General features: G+C 36.1%; 2 protein-coding genes, 1 long non-coding RNA gene and 1 pseudogene across 5 annotated transcripts in view; all 4 read right to left on the reverse strand.

Moving 5' to 3' along the window:
- Positions 1 to 18,500, reverse strand: part of PRH1-PRR4 (PRH1-PRR4 readthrough) — a 325,777-nt gene that overhangs the window by 304,254 nt on the left and 3,023 nt on the right. The gene's annotated exons all lie outside the window — the stretch shown is intronic.
- The window catches only part of PRH1 (proline rich protein HaeIII subfamily 1), a 290,647-nt gene that overhangs the window by 269,138 nt on the left and 3,009 nt on the right, over positions 1 to 18,500 (reverse strand). The window lies entirely within an intron of this gene.
- PRH1-TAS2R14 (PRH1-TAS2R14 readthrough) overlaps positions 1 to 18,500 on the reverse strand; it is a 234,202-nt gene that overhangs the window by 212,693 nt on the left and 3,009 nt on the right. The gene's annotated exons all lie outside the window — the stretch shown is intronic.
- Positions 8,674 to 9,592, reverse strand: TAS2R18P (taste 2 receptor member 18, pseudogene; annotated as a pseudogene).

The following is an 18,500-nucleotide window of genomic DNA, read 5'->3' on the forward strand; positions in this document are numbered from 1 at the left end:
ATCAAAACCACAGTGAGATACCATCTCACACCAGTTAGAATGGCAATCACTAAAAAGTCAGGAAACAACAGGTGCTGGAGAGGATGTGGAGAAATAGGAACACTTTTACACTGTTGGTGGGACTGTAAACTAGTTCAACCATTGTGGAAGTCAGTGTGGCGATTCCTCAGGGATCTAGAGCTAGAAATACCATTTGACCCAGCCATCCCATTACTGGGTATAAACCCAAAGGACTATAAATCATGCTGCTATAAAGACACATGCACACGTATGTTTATTGCAGCACTATTCACAATAGCAAAGACTTGGAACCAATCCAAATGTCCAACAATGATAGACTGGATTAAGAAAATGTGGCACATATACACCATGGAATACTAAGCAGCCATAAAAAATGATGAGTTCATGTCCTCTGTAGGGACATGGATGAAATTGGAAATCATCATTCTCAGTAAACTATGGCAAGGACAAAAAACCAAACACTGCATGTTCTCACTCATAGGTGGGAATTGAACAATGAGAACACATGGACACAGGAAGGGGAACATCACATTCTGGGGACAGTTGTGGGGTTGGGGGAAGGGGAAGGGATAGCATTAGGAGATATACCTAATGCTAAATGACGAGTTAATGGGTGCAGCACACCAGCATGGCTCATGTATACATATGTAACTTACCTGCACATTGTGCACATGTACCCTAAAACTTAAAGTATAATAATAATGAAAAAAGATATCAGTGAAAATATTTTTGTATTGATCCTCTATACCAGACTCCATTATATATTGCCCAGAAACACTTTCTATAGGTTTCATTGGTTTGTTTTGTTTTTTGCCAACTGTGTTCTTAAAGATGTCAGAGAGGTGGTTTCTCTTTTGAGGAGTCTCACTGAGCTGTGACAGGCCTTTGAAACTGGAGTCATATCATTCTGATACTCTGCCTCTTGCTGGGCTGGCTGGACCCTGCTTGAAGCTGCTCCAAGGAGATGAGTGCAGCCTGACTGCATTTCCCCTCAGTCATTAAGCCTGATACTACCCACCTCTCTTTTCCTGTCTTGGGATTTACCTGCAGCAGCTGAAGTGTGAGAACCTGCAAGAGTCTGTCAACATCCACACAAATGCACACGAAGTTGCAGGCTGCTGGCCAAAAACAGACTGCTGGTCATCCTTGCTTTTTTTTTTTTTCAATGTGCCCTGCTTATGCCATAAGTGCTGTTGCTGCTCTCTCGGGATCTTGCTACACCAGGGGCTGGTTAGAGAGGCTAGAAAATATAGTTGAGAAATGCACAGAGGGGACTCCCTGGAAACTCTGACCAATGAAAGATGAGAGCCAATATATACATTCTTTTTATTTCTTCCCTTGGATAGAGACAGAAATTTCACAGTCTCCTTTTAAACACATACGAAGAAATCAACTGTGATTATGAAGTGACAGCCAGCTAAATATGTCTTGTATTTGCTCTCTTCCTTTTTTTGCCTAACTCATCCTTTACTTCCATTCCTGCTTCCATGGTAATGCAGGCTCAAATAAATTACTAGGATACAAGATTACTTCAAGCCTCTTTTCTGTGGAACTCATAATATGATAAGCATTTGTTACAAGATTGCCTGTAGTTGTTTAGGGGATAAATTATATTAGGGAAAGAAAGTCTTTCTTTAGTTGGTTAAATTTTCTATTATAATTGGGTACTAAATTTATTTAAAGAGTGTGTTCACAACTATTTTATAAACATATTATTTCCCTCTTAAATCTATTAGTGAGTTGATTATCATAATATATTACCATGGGTTAAACCATCTTCACATTTCTGGAATCAGCATTTCTTTGGTATGTCATATTTTTTTTTTCATGATGGTAGCCAGATCTAAAATTTTATAATATAGCAATAATACATAGGTATTATTTTTACAGTCGGGTGTTTAGATTTTTAAATAACTTAATGTTTTTCTTTATTTTTCTTTTTCCATTTTCTTTCTTCTTTTTTTAATTATTATTATACTTTAAGTTTTAGGGTACATGTGCACAACGTACAGGTTTGTTACATATGTATACATGTGCCATGTTGGTGTGCAGCACCCATTAACTCGTCATTTAGCATTAGGTATATCTCCTAATGCTATCCCTCCCCCCTCCCCCCACCCCACAACAGGCCCCGGTGTGTGATGTTTATTATAAATAAAATTTTAAATATAACCTACAACTCTTTTGGAAAAGATAATTTGTGAGATAGTATAATAATACAAGAAAATTTCTTTCATTATTTTTGACATATGCAAGAGTATTTCTTCACAAGAAAATTTTGATAATCTATACTTTTTAGAAAATTGCACATTAGAATTTTTTATTTTTATCACAAAACTGTTTTAATATTTTTATAGAAGAAAATTTCTCTTCTCTCAAGATCAATTTATTTTTGTTTTATCACTTATCTGTACTATATTTTAGTTTTAACTATTCTCCACTTTTATGTTTATTGACATCTATGGTTAAGAAAGTTCAGCTTGGGAGATGACAGTAGATTGGATTTTTAGCCCCAATTATTTATTCCCTTTAATAGTATTACTCACAGCCTTTGCATGTAACTTTGCTGTGCTCTCCCACTGTGGGCAAAGTATAATTTCCATGCCCATTAATGTTGTACTTGTCTGTGAATTGCTTTAGAATATTAGCAGAATGTATATGAGCAGAGATCTTAAAAATGCATTATCAGTTTGTCTGGGCCTTCTTGTATTTTGATGATCACCATGAGAATAGCCACAGCTACACTTCAAGTACAGCTGCCCCTTCTGCCTGAGACTCAGAATGAGACTGTGGATCATGACAGAATCAAATTCCAAGTCTAGGTAGGAGTTGTCTGGTATTAGTTGTCTCATATAATTAGATTTAAGGGTATTCATGACCCTGTTTCCAACGGTAAAGGAGACACTGGCAATCCCTGGCATGCGGTGACACAACAGTTATTTAAATTATTGTCCATAGATGATCACTTACAAAATAACTTATAATCAAGTTCCTATAGAAGACAAGACATTGAGTGAGGCTGCCATAGAACATTTTAGTGAACATAAGTAGAATAGGGTTCGTTGCTGACTTATAAGTGTGCTAGAAAACTTGGAGAAAGAAAAATTATGAACTTAAGGCTTTGAATTACTAGCTTCGGATTATGTAAACTAACATAACATTCCTACGACTGTCTTCAAAAAAGTCCTTATCTCCTATAGCAGAAGTACTAAAATTTCTGAAAAGCAAACTCAAATCAATTTCTGCAATAAATAAATCATCTTGAAAATTGTATTTACAACTTCACAACTTCCTGTGTTAAAGTCAGGAAATTTGCTAAAAAAGAAATAGGAACTTAAAAATTGGGGTGGGCCTGTAATGGCAGATCCCAAAGAATCTGGAGGATCTTGAACCCCTAAATTCTGCTGGTGCACCGTTGCCAGGAGATGCACTCTTCCTCCCCTCGCTGAGAAGGTTAGTCTTCCTTCCCTTGCCTTAAAAACCTGTAATGAGTTACCTTGAGCTGTTTGGCTTACAGAGGAATGCTGATACCACTCTATATATATCCCTGCCTCCTCTTATGTTTAAATATATGATAACACTCAATTCCCAGCAGGCCCCAAATGACAAGATACAAAATGTGATACAGGACAAAGTAAAATTCAGACCAAAAGACTTGTAAGATTTTGTGAATTTTATACCAACACACACCTGAGATATATGAGTAGAAATGGATCTTATGAATGGGTAGATATAACAATATAATACATATAATGTGAATTATGATAAATATTATGAGCTCACTAACAGATATTACCCCCAAAAAAATGGCAAACAAGAGAGCGAAACAAGTGGTTTGTGTCCAGAGCAAAATAGTGGAATGTTTTTTCTACTTTAATATTGAAATAAAGAAGTAATATTTAAAAATAGTATAAAATATTTTTGAGTTTTGAAAAATAGTATATAGTATTCAACATACTCAATACTGGAGACAAATTTGTTAGAATAAAGTCACTCAAATAAATCTTATGATACATCAGCCAACTTTGGCAGTTTACGGATACAATCAAACAATGCCAAAATGTTTTTTATCAATAATTCTTTTAATTCTCCCATCAGTAGCATATACTCCAATTCAACTGAAATACATTAAAAGAGAATCAAGTATTGTAAGAAGCCAAGAGAAAGTTTTCATCTGCTCTGAGGGTTCATTGAAAATAAACTGACAATAGATAAATAAGAGAAAACACAAGTTTTTATTAATGTGCATATATAAATGACAGCCATATACCAAGTATGAGACCCAAAGCAGGGGCCAGACAATTGACTCTTAAGTATACTCTTAATTGGGGAGAGGAAAGCAAGGGATGTAAGAATAAATGATTTCCAGAGGAAATGCATAATCTAAAGAGCAATGGCCTAGGACAAATTTCCTCTGAGCTCTAGGGGAGGTGGAGGGAAGGTTAGGGCCAGAACTTCACTGTGAACAAAGGTTGTCTTATTATGCAGATGAAGTCACCCAGGGAATCTCTTGGAGCTGCCTTCAAAAGAACAACTGAAAAGTCTGTCTAGGCATATTGACAACTCCAAGTATCTTATCCAGTGGTTATTTGATCCAGTATCTTATCCTGGTCATTTGATGAGATTCCTAGACAAGGAGTCTTTTAAAAATTGCATTTCTTCTGGAAAGAAATTTTCTTAATCAGATAAGGAAATTCCAGAGAGAATTCCCTCTGGTGCTTCAGGAAAGAGGATCAGAGACACAGACAGAAGGGAAAACTTCAGACAGAGAATTTGAGGCTTCCTGTTTAGTCAAAGAGCGATATATTTTCAGTATCATTTTCTGAGCCCCAATAGTATACAGTTGTAGTTAGTTTCATGGTGCCATATTTCTTGCAGTGTGTCACATCTTCTGCTTAATTGTAGAGTTTTAATAGAAAAATCCTTCATACATGTGGGCACAAATTTTATATTAACATAAAAACATTTTCATTCCTATCAAACAGTTCTGCCAATCCCAGGCAGTAACACTCGATCTGTAATTTTGATTGAAGGGCTGGATTCAACTTTGATTACATGCAAATAGGAGAAAAAGTAACTTGCACTGATTTGCAATTTTCATTCTGCCCTAAAGCTTGGGTCACTTGGATCCAAATGCCAACTTTCCTAAATCTCTGCTCAAAAAAGAGAGGTGGAAAACTTTCCAGTATAATTCATGGGGGTGCTTAGGTGTAGCTTTTCTCACTTGAAAACCAGAGAACCAGAGAAGGTACAGAAACCTGGAAAAATGATTATAAGTCTTTTCTAGAACATTAGAAACCAATTAGGTCAGTTGTTAAAAATCAAAACTAGAATTTTATGTGACATATAGAAAGAAAATTTCCTGACTTTAACACAGGAAGTTGTGAAGTTGTAAATACAATTTTCAAGATGATTCGTTTATTGCAGAAATTGATTTGAGTTTGCCTCATTTTTGAACTCTTTATAAATACAACCTTAATATATTTTCTTCTTGTTTATGACTTCTTTTTTTAAGCATTATGTTGATAAAATGTATCCACTTTGTTGCATGTACATGTGGTTCATTGCTTTCAATTTCTCTATATTGTTCCATTATATGAATTTGCTATAATTATTAATCCTTCCTTAATTTATAGGTATTTGAGCTGTTTCTTTTTAGAACAATTACAAATAATACTACCATGGGCATTATTTTACATGTCATTCAATGCACTTCTCTTGGATATATAGCTAGAGTATATGCATTGAATTTGATACTCAGACTCTCTTCACAGACAATGAAAAGGTTAAATAATAATTAAACTAAATTTAATCTTTTCACCTTCACCCCAGTCTATATGTTATTGGCATACATTTTATTCATTACCTCTTTTAACACAAGATATTATTGTTCTATACAGTCAATAGTCCTTTTAGTTACGCACATTTGCCATTGCCTTTATTTTCATTCCTTCTTGCATCTTCAACTTTGTATTTTCAGTAACTTTTTTCTATCTGAAAATGTATCCTTTTGAATTTCTGTTTATGAAATGTCTGCTACTCCTTTGAAACGCACTGAAAATATATTACATTGAATTCTAGCTTCCATGCTTTCTGCTGAAAATCAGTTGTCATTCAAACAGTTGATCCTTTCAACATAATCTATCTTTTTTCTCAGGCTACTTTTCAAATTTTCTATTGGTCTTTGGTTTCCTGTAGCATTTATATGTTAATTTGTTTTCAGTTATCTTGTCTGAGGTTTGTTGGTTTCTCGAATGTATGGATTGATACATTTTATTATTTTTGGAAAGGTCTCAGCAACATTACTTCTTCCCTACATTCTCTCTTCTAATCTTCCAGAACTCCAAAAGTATGTTAAGCCTTTCTGACTGTAGCCTCAATGCTCTTCCCCTTTAGCCTGTATTTTTCCATCTCTTTGTCTAATTATGCTTCACTCTGTGTAGTTATCTTCCAATTCACTAATTCTTTATTCTACCATTTCTAACTGATTGTTAAATCTAATTGATTGTTAAATATTGAATTCTTAATATTAATTTTTTCAGTCATTATTTTGGTGGTAGAAAGAAACTTTCACTCTATTTCTGTAAGTTATTTCTATGGATAAATAAAATACTCATAATACCAAATTCTTAAAGATTTTTTAAAAACTTTTAGTAAACTTGACAAGAAAATACCAATAATTCTCTTCTTTTACCCACACTTTGGTCAAAGAAAACACCAATTTTTTTTTTTTTTTTTTTTAGACGCAGGCTTGCTCTGTCACCCAGGCTGGAGTGCAGTGGCGCGATCTTGGCTCACTGCAAGCTCTGCCTCCTGGGTTCACACCAGTCTCCTGCCTCAGCCTCCCGAGTAGCTGGGTCTATAGGCACCCGCCACCATGCCCGGCTAATTTTTTTGTATTTTTAGTAGAGATGGGGTTTCACCATGTTAGCCAGGATGGTCTCGATCTCCTGACCTCGTGATCTGCCTGCCGCAGCCTCCCAAAGTGCTGGGATTACCCACACTTTGGTCAAGAATAGAATAAAAGTGTGAGTCTAATCATTCTTAACCAAGTTGAAAAGAACTAAAAATAAATTTGATGCAAGTAGCAGCTTCTCTGTTGCTGCATCTTCACCACAGACTCTTATTACATGAAAATTCAAGGAGCAGAACTTGATCTCAAAATGCCATTACCATAAATAAAAGATAATACATCAATCACAGCAACACCATCTTATAACATGGCTTAATATTTAAGTAGTCCTTTTACTCTCCTTACACTGTTAGACATGGGGCTTTGTGCCTTACAAGTCCATCATCAAGAGAGTATGATATTGAAGATGTGAGGGCTTATTTCTGTTTGGTTCATTGACTTTTAAAGCCTCTCTTTTGAAATAAGAGTTTAATTATAAAATGGTTTATTGACTTTATCTCTCTTATTATACAAATGCTATTTACACTAAAAACTAAATATTTCTGGTAGTTAGCCTCTGATGAGTTTAAGATTATTTATAAATCATTTGTTCAAGCAATGCATTTTAAGTAAAAATACACTCAACTTCTAACTCTAAATGTATTAAGTTTCACATAAGCCTTGCTCTTTAATAATGCAACTTACCCACAATAATAATCTTTAGGAAATTACCTAGACATTCTCCAAATCGTGCATGTAAACATTTAAAAAACAAATAGTTAAATGAAATATATGATGATGATAGTGGTGGTGGTGGTGATGATGATATTAATAGCTAAATGAGAGAACCCTACCTGATAAATGTGATAGATGTGACCTCACTCTAATTTCCTGAATGGAAGAGTTCATTTTGTCTGGAGAAAACAACAATTCTTCCCTATGGCCTTATCATTCTTACACCATTCTCTGCATCAGGGCTTAACCTGGAAGAATATTTTCACCTACTACTTCATGAAGACTAATATAAAACCAACATACTTCCCATGATTTACCAGCTATTTTTTCCCTTTATTCCATTTTTAAAATTATGGTAAAAGTTACCTCAAACAACAGTGCTGGGTTTTTTTTCTTTCATATGGACATATCCATTTCCTCTATTAAAATAATACATGATCTTCATTTCATATTTTAGTAACATCATTTGCAAGCAAAATTCTCTTAACTGCTTCATTACATTCCCAGCTACTGTGATTACATCTGGGTTATTTTATTACAGTAGTCAAAGTAGCACTACACATCCACAAACATATCCAAGCATTACACTGATATATATTATGCTTTAACAAACTTACTTAATTATACTTAACATTTTATAATTTTTTCCCTACTGTATTTATAATTTTTTGTTCAAAAAATTACATTACACTTTTTTCTGTGATTTTATATATATTTATTCATATTGCCTTGTATATCATATGTGCATTTATTTATATTCCATTATAAATGTTTATCTTTTTCTCCAAGTCTCACATACTCTATTGTTATTAGCAGGCATTATTATAGTAGAGACATTTCCTTGAATCAGACATTATGTCCGGCAACTTTGAGAAAATATGGTTAGTGAATATTTTAAGGAAAATTTCAGAATTATTTAACAACACTTAAAAGGACTCCAAAAAAGAAATTGTTAAATATAAAATTAACTTATGAGGTCTTCTATTAAGTTATTTCTTTCATAGATGCAGAAAGTTAAATTTTGTCTATGAAGTTAAAGGTTTTGCTTTTTTCAGAGAGAATTTAAGATGCCACAGTAGTCTCAAGGAGCTCTGTCTTAGCTTGTTGTTTCCCAAAATTATAATAAATGAGTGGCCTGAGGGAAAGGCAAGTAAAATCATCATAATAAACGTCATGACCTGATAATTCTCTACCTCAAGGAAGATCCAATCTCCTATTAAAGTGGAAATAAAGTTAATAAAAAAAAGGAGGAGGAAGGCTATCACCATTTTCATGGCCCTTTTATGGGCCTCTGTGCTGGAGTCCCTTGAGCCCAGAGAGTTGAGCTGCAAATTCTTGGTGTGTCTCACTAAGGATATAAATAAAAGGAGCAAAGAGGTCAGAGTCAGAAGAAAGGGAATAACGTATGTCAAGCTGAGAAGCCTAAGGCCTTGAAGACAGACTATTTTACTTGTATCTGAGTGCAAAGTCATGTTTTTTTCACAACTCACTAATGGCATTGGACATAAAAAGGTAAACAAACGATAAGAACAAAGACCGCAGGAAAAGCACAAGAACCACTCTGTTCATTCTCCACTTCAGCCAGGCAAAAAATAAGCGGGAGAAATTGGCTATCTTAAGCAAGTAGAAAATGCTTAGGCAGGTGGCAAACTAGATACTTAACTGATTAATTAATGCCCAAAGAATAGTAAACAGTTTTACTAGTTTACGGATGGTATATAGATGAGGGGACAATACCATTATAAATGAATCAAATAGTATTAAATACAGTCGAATGATTCTGACTATAGCCAAGCTGGTGAGGATGAAATCAGCTGATGAGACCTTCCAACTCTTGGCCCACTCAATGCAGTTTACCAGTCCAATGAGCCCGTTTCCCAGCATTCCTAAGACAAGTCCTCTTGTTGCCACCACCAGAAAGAAAATATTAATTCCAACGAACATTTCTATGAAAATATTTCCGATATTCTACTTCACTGACAGCTTTATAGTCAAACAGTTGCAGATGGGCATGCATTTATGATGCTTTCTATCTATGTTTTCATCACAATTTCAGAAGGCATAGCCAAATTCAGATATATGTTCAGAGATCTTCATGAAAAAAATAGTTTGTTCTATTTATATTGTAACTCCGGTACTAAACCAAATTGTTAAGAGATACAAAGCTTCATGAATACCTTTCTTACCACTTTCAGTCAGCTACTATATAATTTCTAGAACAAACACTAATGATGTCTATTTATCTTCAGCATCAGCCACAATTTTCCATTCATGGTAATGACTAAAGAAGCGAAGTCGAGTATGTAAACATGCAAAAATGAGAGATCATTTTTCACTAATTTGCATTTTCATCTCCCCTGAGCCATACCACTTGAATACAAATATCTTAAATTTTGAATAGAAATTGTTAGAAATAACATTTATTTCAGTAATTATTTGTCTCTCATTCAGTAACATCCTTCTACATACCAAGCATTTTTGTTGATGCAATATGATTTATAGAAATAAGTCCCTAAAATTATTCATAATTCAAGAATTTCACCCAAGTCCTAAAACTATTAATATAAATAATTTGTATGCAATGTTACAGGAGCTAAAAAGAATAAACAAAATATACCAGAATTAAAGACGAGGAAGATACAAATGCTTCAGTGAAGAATTGACTATAGTTCTCTGAGGTTAGGGACATTCAGTTTGAACTGGAATTTTTGTTTGTTTGTTTGTTTGTTTGTTTTTTTGAGACAGAGTGAGACTCCATCACACAGGCTGTACTGCAGTGGCACAATCTCAGCTCACTGCAACCTCCGCCTCCCAGGTTCAAGCGATCCTTCTGCCTCAGCCTCCCGAGTAGCTGGGACTATAGGCGAGCACCACCACGCCCAGCTGATTTTTGTATTTTCAGTAGAGACGGGGTTTCACCATATTGGCCAGGCAGGCTGGTCTCAAACTCCTGACCTCGTGATCCTCCTGCCTCAGCCTCCAAAAGTGCTGGGATTACAGGTGTGAGCCACCACGCCTGGCCCTGGAATTCTTTAGAATTTATGAAAAAGAAGAAAAGAACTAATATTCAAGACAGGTTTAAGGGCACTTTCAAACTACAAAAGTGACATAAACAAGCTATACCATGCATCTATAGGCAGGAACTTTTTTGTTTCACATTTGTATGGCTATTTTAAGCAAAATGCACTCTCCAACTTCCATGTCCTAAATTTCATGTTCTACTCTTTTTTCTAAGCATATAGACTATATTTCCAAGCCTCTCTTACAGATGCAATGTGACTAAAAGCTGAACAATGTAATGTGAGTGGAAATTATGTGCACTACTTCCAGGCCCGTCCCATAAAAATTTGCCATGCATCCTCCTCCATGCACCTTTTCTGCTCCTGGCTGCCTGGAATAAGGTGACCCCAAGGCAATCTTGGAAGCTATGTGTTAAAGGTCACCAAGTGATCAGCCTATTTTAGTGAATAACTACATAGGGAAGGTTACTCAGACATATCAGTACCATTAAAAGAACAAAATTAAATCATATTGTTTGAAACGTTTTACATTTTGGAGCTATTTGTGATGCAGTTTGTCTACCCAGTCTAACACAGAAATTGGAACTGAAAGTGGGAGAATTTGTTTAGAGGATTTGGATAGTGAAGGAACAGATCTTGGAGACTGGCAACACGATGGCACATGTGGTGTATAAGCAAACTTTTTAAAAACATTATATGCAATAACTTAGAAGAAGGCCATGTTTAATGAGTCTCTGGCCCTAGGGGAAGTGGTTGATGAAAGTCAAAACGGTGTGCCAGGGTTGTTCTCCAAAATATTTTAGCAAGATATTATGAGAAGATGAGAAAGGAAAAGAATTGACTGGTTTGCAAATAAGAATTAAGAGCAAGAGAGAGTTCAGAAATCTAAGGTTTCAGAGGGGTATAAAATCTCACCGGTTTGGGGTATCAAACAGCAATAAGTGAGACTGAAAAAAAAATTAAGAGGCCCATTAAGACTTTTCAATTAAACATAGAGACCATTGTTTCGAATGCCTTCAAGATAACTGCCACCAAAGTGAAAGAAAGAGGCCTGGGATAAGTAAGGGAAAAATGTTTATCTATTTTCTTATTTATACAGACATGAAACATTTGTGTAAGGACAACCATTTTGGAAATTTTTGTAGGGTAAGATGGAACTGACCAGAAGCAAGTAGATTAAAAACTTTATATGTTGCTGAGGATATTGCATTTGTCAAATAAATTATGAGTGATTTAATTAAATATGTGATATTAAAATGACTCTCTGGCTTCCAAACTTGCATTATTGAAAAGACTTGAAATACGTACCTTCTCCAGGAAGGTACCCTTCTCATCATCCTTTTCAGATGCAGCCAAGGAGGATAATAATGAAGAACATCCAGAGGGTAAAGCCAGGATCCTCAGAAAATGATGGATAAGGGAGTTTCTCCCAGAGTCCAGACACAGGGACTAATCAGGAACTTCCCTGTAAATCCAGGGCAGGCGACTCCACATAGCCTATCAAGGAAGGTTTGTCACTGCTATGGCCAATCTACCATTGTATTCCTCCTGTTTTCTTTCTAAATGGGAGGAGTTTATTGTTGCCAGTCAGCCTGCCCCTAATCATCCACTTTATACTTTGAAGTGAAGATATATATATCTTGTGTTTTTTGTTTTCATTTATTCCCAGACCATGAGGGACTACATTTGGAAGTGGTAAACAGAACTGTCTATCACTCAGAAGCCCTGAACTTTAAGCTGATGTAACATAAGACTTTAATGCATCCCCAGGAAAGGAGCATAAGTGTGTTCTATATGTGGGAAGAAGGGTACATATGGTGATTTAAAAATAGGCATGAAGTCTGTGGCAGGTACTGTGTTGCTGACCAAAATCCTTGTTCTCCTCTTCCTGAGCACACATGAGACTACATTTCCCAGGATCCCATGCAGTTGGGTGTGACCCAGTGTCTGAGTTCTTGCCACTGGAGCTTGAGAAGTGATGTGTGAAAACTCTATGTCCCCAACAAATACAGCCTCACCCCAAACACACACATAAATACACATGCACACTTGTAATGAAGAATACCCCCTGGGCAACCATGGAAAAATGTGTTAATATTTGCGAAGACTTCTTTAGCCTGAGTCAATCAATAATTGCAGAGAGAAGGGATACATGGAACACTATTCAGCTGTAAAAAGAAATGAGAAAGATTGCTATATAGTACTATGAAGTGATACCTAATTATTAAATTATTTTAAAAGGAAAAATGCAGAACAATGTGTGTAGTATGTTCTATATTGTTTAAGAATGGTATTGTCAAAAGCTGACTTTAAAAAATGGTTACGTATAGTGTTCACTTCAGCAGCACATATACTAAAGTTGGAACAATTACAGAGAATATTAGCATGGCCCCTTCCATATCTTAAATTTTTAAAAGCAATTAAAAAAGGAAAAAAAATTGGTTACCTATAGGAAAGGAAACACAGAGCATATGACAGGAAAGAAGCTAGGCTTCTCTGAATACATTTTGTTTTGAAGTTTTACCCCTGGTACCATGAACATTTATTAAATAATCACTAAAAATTAAAATAAAGGAATATTAATCCTGAAAAATAAAAATAAAAACAAATGAACCTGTCTGATGGATGATTTAACTAAAAGAGGAATTGTTTCAAATGATCCTACAACATAGTTTTTTTATCTCCAGAAGGATATATGCTAAGATAAATCTGAAAGTGTTTTAATAATTAAGCTGTTAGAATAATCTAATCTGAGTACTGTTAGTTTGAAACTATTATATGCGCTGATGCACACAATTAATTATGTGAATGTTGTGTGGTTACGGACCAAGATTTTCAGCATGAGAAAAAAAGAAGTAAGAATATAAAATCTGAATTGGAAATATCAACATGAACTTATTTTTAAAATCTATTCTGGTAGTTTAAGCACAAAAGACATTTATTAAAGTGTATCAGAGAATCATTACAAAGTCTGCAGAAGCAGATTCAAAGCTAAGCATCTAGATACAATGTGTGTATCAGATTTTTTACTCTACCATATACCATCCCCAAGTTTCTAAAATCTCACATTTGCCACAGGGACATAAAAAAGAAGCTGGAATAACATTTCCCAGACCCCATGGTCAATTAAATTCCCCCTTAAAAAAAGACACTTTGAGGTAAAGCTATTATTTCTTGGGCAGCAATCTAGACTGGCACTTAGGTATCTACAGACTACAAGCATAAGGGTTGGATAGCTACAAATATACTCCTAGGAATCACCCACTTTGAGGCCAGAGGCACCTGATATCATCAGTAGCTGTGATGGTTAATTTTACATATCAACTTGACTGGGTTAAAGAATACCCGTATAACTGGTAAAACATTATTTCTGGGTGCCTCTGTAAAGGTGTTTCTAGAAGAGATGAGCATTGGAATCTGTAGACCGAGTAAAGATCTGCCCTCACCAATGTAGGTAGGCATCAACCAATCTGATGAGGGCCCTAATAGAACAAAAAGCTGGAGGAAGGGCAAATATACTCTCTTCTTGAGTGGAGACATCCATCTCCTCCTGCCCTTGGACATCAGAGCCCCTGATTCTCAGGCCTTTGGCCTCAAGACTACACCACTGGTTGTATCATGGGACTTCTCAGCCTCCATAATCAATTGAGCCAATCCCTATAATGAATCCCTTTTTACACATGTTTATTATGAAAATTGGCTCATAATTATGATTCTGTTGGATCTGTTTATTTGGAGATCCCTGACTAATACAGTAGCCTGCATAGAGGATGCAAGTAGCTGACACAAATGTTATTGCCTTCATGTACAACCCCTACAATTCTGGATTCCTGAAAGTAACCCTCCAGAATTAGTCTCACTTCCCCCAAAGCCTTCTAATGTTTGTATAGTGTCTAACTCCCTGATTAAACTTCTTCTAACTCAGAACATCTAAAATGTCTTGTTTTCTACCTAATGTGGTCTGAGGCTTCTCAAAAAAAAAAATGCTTCTTTTTGTAAATCAGCTTTACTGAAATATAATTTTTATAAATTATATGAAAAACCGTTTTAATTATACAGTTTACTTTTGGCAAATTATACAGATTAACTACCACAATCAAGATATAGAACATTTCCATCACCCCCAAAAACATCCTTGACATTCCTAGACCCCTTTGCAGTGCATTCTACCTCAGGCCTTTGGCTATCACTGATCTGTTTTCTGTCACTATATTTTTCTCTTTGTAGAAGAGAAAATGGTATCATGTTTGAACCTTTCTTTCACTTGGTAGAATGTTTAGAGTCATTTGTTGTTGCATGTAAAAGTGATTTATTCTTTTTTGTTGCTGAGTAGTATTCAATTTTACGGGTATGTTCTCATTTCTCTTAAGAATTGCTGGGTTTCATGGTATTTTTTACTTCATAAGAAACTATCAAACTCAACCAAAGAGGCTTTGCCACTTTGCATCTCCACCAGTAATGTATGAGGATTCTAGTTGCCCCCTATCCTCACAAATTAGTATTGCCAGTCTTCCCAATTTTTTCCTCCATCTCTTCTCTCCTTTTCTCCCTCTCTTTCATTTTTCTGTTTGAATAATATATAGTAATCTGCCTTCAATATTACTGATTCTGCCTCTGCCATCTCCAGTCTGTTGATAAATTGCCAAAGGAATCTTTCACCTCCAATACTGCTTTTCATTTCTAGCATTTTCATTTGAGCTTCTTATATAGTTTCTATCTCTCTGCTAAAATTTCCTGAGCATGTTATTTATCTTTTCCACTAGAATTTTAACACATTAATCATAATTATTTTTAAAGGTTCTGTCTGATAATTTCAACCTCTGGGCCATTATTTTCTCTTAACAATGCCTGGGTTTTTGTATGTGTGTATACATATTTACAGTAAATCCTGAGATAAATATTACCCCTCAAAAATGGGCTGCCTTCTTATTCTGTCAGACTACTAAGTGTGTGAAATTGTATCAATCCAATCTGTAGTTTATCTGTATTTAGATTCAAATGGCTCCAGTGGTGGAATGCCAGTAACTTGTGTTTTGGGGAAGACTGGAGTGCCAAAGGGATTCTCAGTGTTTGTGCTCAGCTTCAAGAGTCCACACATGCACTATAGAGAAGGCTCTTTCTACACTTGTGTCCCTCTCCCAGTATAGTGGCATTGCTTGTTAATCAGAGAAAAGTTCATGGTGGGGCAATGGGAGCTCTTTGTTCTTCTCTAGCAACTGCCCCTGTCTACGTACCTTTGCCTCAGACGTGGGACTTTTTTAATGCTCCTACCACTCCCACAACAAGAAAAACTGCCTAAAATCAGTGAAGGATCCTGGCTGAAAGCCGGTTTTCTCCCCCTCCTCCAGTAGCAACAGATGGCTTTCACCCAGTGTCAGCATGGGAGTCCAAGTCAGGCAATCTTCCTGCCCCTCCTTGAGTGTCAGTCAATCAATGTCTTGTATCAGTGGAGGGTCTTGATATCATCAGGTTAACTGCCCCCTTCCTGCAGCAAATGGGTTTTTCCTGGTGTTCATGCAGAGTCCAGGATTGGTGGGTTTTCTGCCTTCCTTCACTGGCAGATCCTTTCTGTTTAGCCAGCATGCAGCCCAGAGCAAGTGAGTTTCCTGGACTTCCCCTGTGACAACAGACTTCTAATATGTATTAATACAGACCTAGGAGTGCAGGCAGGTTTCTTACCCCACTCCTTGTGCCAATCAGCTATTGCCCAATATCAGAGTAGGGTCCAGGTTACAGTGTATTCCCTGCCCCTCACTCAGCAGCAGGCAGATTTTGCATAATAAAGATCCAGAACATGTGTAGTTTTCTTGCCTGTCCCCTAGCACTGGCCAACAACCACCTTTTACTCATGCAGGGTCCAGTGTAAATGGGCTTCTCCAGTTTCTATTACTCCACTTTAAAACTTAAGAAGATTTTGTTCCCATTTGTTTTAGATTTGCACTGCTGCTAAAACAAATTATCATAAATTTAGTGGCTTAAATACTACAAAATTATCTTAACAGTTCTACAGATCAGAAGTCTGGTATTTGTCTTACTAAGCTAAAATCAAGGTGTCAGCAAGGCTGCATTGCTTTCTGGAGGCTCTAGGAAGGAATCCATTTCCTTGCCATTCCCAGCTTCTAGAAACTACCTGCAGACCTTGGTTTGGGGCCTCCTTCATCTTCAAAGTCAGAAGTGTTGCATCTCTCTAACCCTAGTTAAGAAATAATCTGTTTTTAAGGGCTCATATGATTAGACTGAACCCACCTAAATAATATGGGATAATCTCCCATCTCAAGGTGCATACCAATAATCACATTTGCAAAATCTCCATGCCATATAATGTAACATATTAACTAGTTCCAAAGATTAAGTCATAGACATCTTTGGGAAAGCCATTATTCTGCCTCCTATACCGTGTACCATAAAGGAACTTTCCTAGGTTTCCTGTCTGTCCTCAACCTTTCCAGTAAGCATTCGGTAGAAGCCCAAGGGGAAAAGCTGGCAATTACAGACCACTCCTGTGTCTGGGGCTCCCAGGTATTCTAAACTGTCACATTAAACTACACTCAACCTTTGTAAGAATTTGTTAAAATTTCAGCCATTTTCTTGTTACCTACTGAAATGCCAGAGAACTCTTCTGGAGTTCTGCCACAGATGAAACAATTCATGTCTCCTATTTGGAAAGGCTTGTAATTTTTTTTTTTTTTTTTGATATGGAGTCTCGCTCTGTCACCCAGGCTGGAGTGCAGTGGCCCCATCTCGGCTCACTGCAAGCTCCACCTCCTGGGTTCACACCATTCTCCTGCCTCAGCCTCCCGAGTAGGTGGGACTACAGGCGCCTGCCACCACACCCAGCTAATTTTTTGTATTTTTAGTAGAGAGACGGGGTTTCACCATGTTAGCCAGGATGGCCCAGATCTCCTGACCTCGGGATCCACCCACCTCAGCCTCCCAAAGTGCTAAAATTCAGTTTACCTGCTCACCTTGTAACTTCAGTTCTAACAAGCTCAAAATAAATTATGACTTTGTAGCCTACCTAGTTTACTCTCTTTGTTAGAGCAGAAGCAACATTCTCTTTTGGTCTACTGCTAACTAAAAGGAAGTAAAATTCTCAAGCTGGTTTTCAAAATGCATGCATAAATGCATGCTATATCATATTCTTCCACATGCATGGTTTAAAAAATGTCTCAATTAAAAAATAGATTCATGTATAGGTGATTTTTTATGCACCTATGAAATCTGGCCTTGTAATGAAGAATACAATAGATCTTAATAATCTGACAATTATTAAATGTGTTTCATTGTCTAAAAGAGAGGTTTGAGGGGAGAAAAAGAAAAGTCTTTCTTGAAATATGGAAATAAGAGTATATATTTAGCTCTGAGTATGTTCTGGTAAGAATTACAATGATGTCAAACTATATGTACATATTAAAGCCATGGCAAAAAACGAAAGAAAGAAAGAAGAAAGAAAGAAAGAAAGAAAGAAAGAAAGAAAGAAAGAAAGAAAGAAAGAAAGAAAGAAAGAAAGAAAGAAAGAAAGAAAGAAAGAAGGAAGGAAGGAAGGAAGGAAGGAAGGAAGGAAGGAAGGAAGGGAAAGAAAGGAAAGAAAAGAAAGAAAAGAAAGAAAGAAAGAAAGAAAGAAAGAAAGAAAGAAAGAAAGAAAGAAAGGAAAAGAAAAGAAAAGAAAAAAGAAAGAAAGAAAGAGAAAAGAAAAATTAAAGAGTTTTTATGTGGGCTTCTACTTGATTTTATTTTTTCCTAATACAAAAAAGTTTTCGTCAAGGCTTTCAAGGAGCCAAGGTTTCCCATCATATCAAGAATCTAATCTTCCACAGCATTATCAGTGAGGT

The sequence above is a fragment of the Homo sapiens genome, chromosome 12, assembly GCF_000001405.40.
Source record: "Homo sapiens chromosome 12, GRCh38.p14 Primary Assembly".
In the NCBI taxonomy this organism is placed as follows: Eukaryota; Metazoa; Chordata; class Mammalia; order Primates; family Hominidae; genus Homo; species Homo sapiens.